The following is a 6,857-nucleotide window of genomic DNA, read 5'->3' as shown; positions in this document are numbered from 1 at the left end:
GATTGGAAAAAGAAAATGTGGCACATATACACCATGAAATAATATGCAGCCATAAAAAGAATGAGTTCATGTCCTTTGCAGGGACGTGGATGAAGCTGGGAACCATTAACCTCAGCAAACTAACACGGGAACAGGAAAGCAAACACCATATGTTCTCACTCATATGTGGGAGTTGAAAAATGAGAACACATGGACACCTGGAGCCAAAGATCACACACTAAGGCCTGTTAAGGGGTTGAGGTCAAGGGGAGGGAGAAAATTAGGACAAATACCTAATGCATATGGGGCTTAAAACCTAGATGGCAGGTTGATAGGTGCAGCAAACCACCATGGCACATGTAAAACTATGTAACAAACCTGCACGTTCTGCACATGTATTCCAGAACTTAAAAACAAACTAACAAAAGTGCACTAAGTCTGAGGGGGAGTGGGGGTAAGGGCAGGAGTCAGGCTCGGGTGGGTGCGTCCTGGAGTTTTATCCAATCATTGACACTGATGTGGGAACCGCCCAATCAGGCGCGCAGTTGGAGAGGACAGGAGAGGAGGGCGTGGCTTCCTGCATTTGGCGGGGTCTTTGTCTCTCGCTGGCGCTGGCACAGGAACTTGGGATCCGTCTCCTCTTTCGCCTCCTGCACCTTGGGAGCCCCGGGCTACTCTCCCACAGCCCCTGTTGCCCTGTGATCTGTAGGTCCTTGGGGACGCATAGTCAAGGTGCCAGGACATCCTGGAAGCTGGGAAATGGTGAGTATACGGGGTTCGCCATCCCGAGAGGGGAGAACAGACTGTGAAACCGGCAGGACCGTCCTCCCCACGGTTAGCTCCGAGTCTCCCGCAGCTTGGCCCTCAGTCCCCTGTGGCTGCAAGATGGCCGCTGGGCCAGCAGCGAGGGCCCCACGTCCCGTCCGGCCCATCCGGTCCTGTCCCTGGGCAGCGCCCTGCTCTGCGCCCACAGCCATGAGTATTTCCCAGATTGTTCAGGGAGGCCTGGTGGGTCATCAGGGAAAAACCGCGACTGGGTGTTTGCGTGGGAGGAGCTGCGGCCCGTGGGGTCCCCAGTCTCTCTTGTTAAAAATTAACGGGAGTCTATGTTAAACGTTAACCAGTTTATCTGAACAAAGAGTGATTGGTGAAATGGAAAGCACCCAGCCATGATTTCTGGTCCACCAGAGGGGCATAAAGGAAAGGCTTTCATAAGATGCATGAGAAAGCAGCCCAAATTCAAGAATTGGTTCCAGTTATATGGTAGCCTTATTTGAACTATCCAGATGGAAATGTCCTGGTTACATATTCAGAGGTTAATTGCATGTTTGTCATGGGTTAAACCTGCATTTTGCTTCAGGCTAAGATAGTGTTTTATAGGAAATATATTTGAGTTAGGTTTTAGATTTTTTTTTGTTTGTTTTTTGTTTTTTACCTATGAACACAGGGCACTAGAGCCACTTTAGACTAATTTTCTGATCTTTAATTATTTTAACACTCCAGAGGAGGACTGGTTTTCTCCTGTGTTTTTTTAATGTATGGCAAGTGGAACCTCTAATCGACCACCCTGTTTTTCATCCTAACTCAGGCTTGCAGTAAAATTATCAGTTCCCACTTTCTTTGCTGCATTCTCAAATGCAACACATGAGACCAGCTTTCCCTTGCCAATTTACAATGCTGTTAACTATATGTCCTTTATTATACATTTCATTAAAGTTTTCTATTATTTGGTTTCTTTCTACTTCTCCCTACAGTTCTGGCAATATTTGCTTTTTATATTTAGAAGCCTCCCTTTTGGGTGCATAAATATATAAAGCTATATTCTCTTGAGAAATTAACCTCTATTATTATTCTATGGTAAACTCATTTCATGCTTGTGAGAGACATTGCTAGAAAGTCTATTTTGTCTAATTTAAGCATTACCGTTGCACTCCTTTGGTTATTGTTTGCATGGAATATCATTTTCTATCCTTTCACTTTTAGCCTATGCTCTTAATTCATAATTGAGTCTCTTGTAAGCAGCATATTACGAGGTTTAAACGATTAATTTATCCACTCTGTCTGCTTTAGTCTCTTTTGGCTGCTATAACTGAATATCACACACTGGTAATTAATAAAGAATAGAATTTTATTTGACTTATGATTCTGGAGGCTGGGAAGCCAAAACAACATGATACTGGTATATGTTGAAGGTCTAGTTGCTGGATAATAACATAGACAAAGATGTGAGGGAGAGAGAGCTTTTTTTTTTAATATATAACAGATCCATTCTTGTTATAATTAGCCCATTCCCATAATAAGAACATTAATCCATTCATGAGGGCAGAGTTCTTAGAGCTTAATTAATTTTTAAAGGTTCCACCTCTTAATTCTAACATGTTGGCTATTAAATTTTATCCTAAATTTTGGAGATGACATTCAGTGTACAGCAGTATCTGTTTAGTAGATACTTTAATCTTTTTATTTGTAAGGTAGTGATAGGTAAGGAGTTACTATTGTAAATTTGTAGTTTTCTGTCCATTTTAAGTTTGCTTCTTTTTTTTCTGGTTCTGTCTTTCCTGTGGTATTGTTCATTTTTGTTGAGACAAAGTTATGCTTTCTTGCTCAGACTGAAGTGCAGTGGCATATCACAGCTCACTGTAGCTTCAACCTCCTGGGCTCAAATAATCCTCCCACCTTAGCCACCCAAGTAGCTTGGACTACAGACACGTACCACAACACCCAAGGAGATTTCATCCTTCCACCTTGGCCTCCCAAAGTGTTGGAATTATAAGCAGGAGACACCATATCCAATGTGTAATTTTTGTTGTTTGTGTATGCTTTAATTACTTTCTCTTTTTCTTTACTGCAGTTTTTTTTTCCTAGTGGTTATCATGAGACTTAGGTAAAACATCTTGTATTTTAATAGTCTAGTTTAAGATGATAACAATTTATAGTATTCTGAAATTCAGTATGTATTTACCATTTTAGTGACATTTATACTTTAGTATTTTTCATATTGTTAGTTAGCATTTCATCATATCAATGTGAAGATTTCTTCCAGACCATGGCTGGAGAAGGAAAGAAGGTGTGTTTTGCCTGACTCAGTGACTATAGAGAGAACCAAGTTCTGCAGGCCTGTCACCTAAGTCTCAGGTGAGTATGAATTCTCTTGTGTTTTTCACAGATTGTTGCAGTGGCAGGACCAAGGTCAAATGAGTTATAGCCAAGTCTACAGTAAGATGTGGCAGTATTCTGTTTTGAAGCCGGGACCATGATTGGCAAGCTTGCCACTTGGTCAAGTGCTCACCCTCTGAAAATGTCTTCCTTGGTCTTTGCCTCCAGCTGGGTGCCACAAACTCTGAACTGGATTCCAAGGCTTTCATGAATGCACTTATGTTTGCTGTGGCAGCTGCATTATGTCGTGGGGGATGTGGATGCAGAACCTCACATTCTGTCGTCTTGCTTATGTTACTCTCCTTTATGTTTCACTTTCTCAAATGAATGTCAAGCAGGTGATTTTCAGATTCAAAAGTTCTAAAATAAATTGCTCAAATTTATACATTATGTAAGCTGTTAATAAAATTTCTTGTAGGTGCTACATATTTGTTAAAATTTTTGGTTGTAATTTTAAGCTCACTGTAGGCAGAAAGGAATCATTAAGATTTCTATTCTTTTTTAGTCTGTATCTAAATGACCATATATTTTAATTCCAAATATTTACTTTATACTTCAGTAATGCTCATTGTATTTTGCAAAATTTATATTGTTCTTTTATTTGAAAATATAAGGCTTTTTTTAGCTCCTGAAAGCTATATTATAGTCATATAGTTTTATTATAGTATTTGATAAGAAGAGCAGCAACATATTGAGAACAGATAAAATTCTGCTGTCTTTTTAATGATTATTTATTAAATTCTTCTCATTAGAGCCTATTATTAATGATTGTAATGTATTTACTGTATAATTTTTCTGCAATTTATTAAATGCCAATGACTTCCAATGTCTGCTTTTCATGACTGCACACAGTTTAAAGCTGTAGATATCTAATGGGTTATTTTTCAGCCCGGCATGGTGGCTCACGCCTGTAATCCCAGCACTTTGGGAGGCCAAGGTGGGTGGATCACGAGGTCAGGAGATCAAGACCATCCTGGCTACCATGGTGAAACCCCGTCTCTACTAAATATAGAAAAAATTAGCCGGGCATAGTGGTGGGTGCCTGTATTCCCAGCTACTCGAGAGGCTGAGGCAGGAGAATGGCGTGAACCCAGTGGGCGGAGCTTGCAGTGAGCCGAGATGGCACCACTGCACTACAGCCTGGGCGACAGGGTGAGACTCTGTCTCAAAAAAAAAAAAAAAAAAAAAAAGGGCTTATTTTTCATTGTATATTTATGTTGTATTCAGGATTTTATGCATTTAATCTCTCTTCTTATGTTCAATTCTGTGTTGTTGTGTTTCTTTTCTTGGGGGGGTATGTTTTCTCAGATCAGTTAATTGTATTTTTGCTTTTAAAGCTTGATATCATGAGTTGAATGATAATTTTTTAACTCGGTACACTTTATGACAATGTGATATTTAATTTATATGTGAATTAGCCGTGTTTGTTGCTTATACATATATCTATGTGTTTTTCACCTATGTATGTCATTTTTTTCATCTTTTTTCCTTGTTTTTTTTTTTAAGTTTCAGATACGCTTTCTTTTTCTTTTTTTTGTTTTTTTCTTTTAAAGAGAATTTTAAAACAGAGTCAAATGAACAAAAATCAGTTATTTGTCCTCTTGCAGGGCGGGTAGACCTTCCTTCCCCACGGGTTTGAGGCTATGGCTAAGTGGTGAGCCTTGGGGAGATGCAGGAAGGATCCATCCCAGGCACTTGGCTAGAGGTAAGTAAAAATAGCCTTTGGACCAGAAGACCTGATAGTTTGGGTACTCGTCTGAACATAAGTCCCCATCTTCCCAGAAATGTCGTCTTTTGTCTGCAACAACTGGCTGGAGAAATATTTCAGAAAGATGTGTGCCTGGAACACCCAAAGACGTACCTTTCCTTTCTCTTTGGCATAGGCCTTGTAGCACTGTAGAAAGACCAGGTTTGCAATGGAGCCTTCAATACTCTTCATCCCTATGGATCTCAGGGGCTCATAGGGTGACAGGAGAGGAGACAAGCTAGCTTGGGAAGAGTCTTTGTACTTCAGCTTCTCCCCTACTGAAACACTATATACTTGGGGCCACAGTTCATCACAAAACACACATGCTCTCTTTCTTTCTCTCACACCCACATCTTGGGAACCCAACAACTTGATGGCAGGTAGCTCTGGGTATCCTTGGTCTGGCATTCACCCACTGGGCATCTAAGCTGTCCTAAAGCTCTTTTCAATCACTTCTCACTCTTTCCAGGCCCATGTGGGTAGGTGTTCCAGCCTTCACTCTTTCAGGCTGATCATAGAGGCACAGTGTGGGAAAATCCCCTACTGTGATGGCCATTGCTGGGAAGCAGGGAAGGTTAAGGGCCCACTGCTGCCCAAGGCTAGTGCAGAGGCCCTCTGCTCCTCCACTCATCTCCTCAAAGAATGATATCAGGTGCAGCAGCTGCTGTCTGGAATGTTATCAAACCAGGACTGCACAGGCACTGCATTCTCTGTGTGGAAGAGGTAAGAAGCAGGCTAGTTGTCCAGGATGAGTTTTCCTCAGGTCCCTCCCCAGATGGCTGACGTTCTTGACATAGCAGCCCTGGTGAAACAAACATGACTCATGGGTCAGGCAGCCCCAAACCATCCCATACCCGTCCAGCTCACCCGTCACAGGATCTGCCTACTTGTTCAGGCTGGGAAGAAGAGAGCAATGACGAAAACACATTTAAACATTTCCTCCATTCATGTCAGGAACTCATCCATATAAGGCCTCATGAGCACATGGATCTGGTGCATGGTCCCCTCAAGCTCTACAGGCACTAGGCAGTCAGCATTGCTGATTGGCTTAAAGGAGCTATGCACAAGGGTTTCATCCAGGTCAGTGACCATACAGATCCTTCCTTGATTTTTCTCTGTCACCTCTGGGAGCAGGCAGGTTCCTGGGATCTGATAAAACTGATATTGGAGACGCTGGAGCTGATCCGACATAGCAATGGTGTTGACTCCCTCCTTATGTGTGGATTGCTCAGCGGGGGAACTTGACTGTCCAACATGCTGGGTGCAAGAACAGCAGAAAGGGGACTTTTAAGATGTGGCAAACATGAGGCCTCTTCGGAGAGGACTTTGGAAACCAGGCCTTGCTTGGTAAGGACCAGGGCATCTTCCCTCCATGCCTGGGTGATGATGGAGCCTTGTTCCATCTAACAATCCTGAGGGCTGGGCTGGGGGGCATGGGCTGGGGCCTGATTCAGTTCCCGAGATTCTGACCTCCACAGCTGTTCACATACCCCTTCTCCTTTCCATACTGGTCGGGAAGGGAGGTGGCTTGTAGGGAGGGTGGTTGGCCTTGGCAGCAGCTCCCCAGTGTGCCCCCATCCCCGATTCCCCCAGCGAGAGCTTCAAGATCCTCAGTTTGGGTCTAACATAGAGAATCCACTAGAAACACATTTTTTTTTCAAGTTTTATTTTAAGTTCAGGGGTCCATATGTGATAAAGTTTATTTTTCAACTTCTATTTTAAGTTTAGGGGTCCATGTGCAGACTATGCAGGTCTCTTACATACATAAATGCGTACCACTGTGGTTTACTGCACAGATCATCTCATCACCCAGGTACCAAGCCCAGCATCCGCAGCTATTCTTCCTGATGCTCTCCTTCCCCTCCCCCATGCCATGAAACAGGTGTCCAGTGTGTGTTGTTCTTCCTGATGTGTCCATGTGTTCTCATTGATCTGCTTCTGCTAATAAGTTAGAATAATAATAGGCGGTGTTTGG

The 6,857-nt window shown here is 42.6% G+C and overlaps 1 pseudogene; it reads right to left on the bottom strand.

The window, feature by feature from the left end:
• Window positions 1–4,745: 4,745 nt before the first annotated feature.
• On the bottom strand, window positions 4,746–6,285 carry LOC101929749 (carboxy-terminal domain RNA polymerase II polypeptide A small phosphatase 2-like; annotated as a pseudogene).
• Window positions 6,286–6,857: the final 572 nt, after the last annotated feature.

This window comes from Homo sapiens (assembly GCF_000001405.40).
Source record: "Homo sapiens chromosome 17 unlocalized genomic scaffold, GRCh38.p14 Primary Assembly HSCHR17_RANDOM_CTG3".
NCBI lineage: Eukaryota > Metazoa > Chordata > Mammalia > Primates > Hominidae > Homo > Homo sapiens.
The sequence above is the reverse complement of the archived record's forward strand: the minus strand, read 5'-3'. Positions and strand labels throughout refer to the sequence as shown.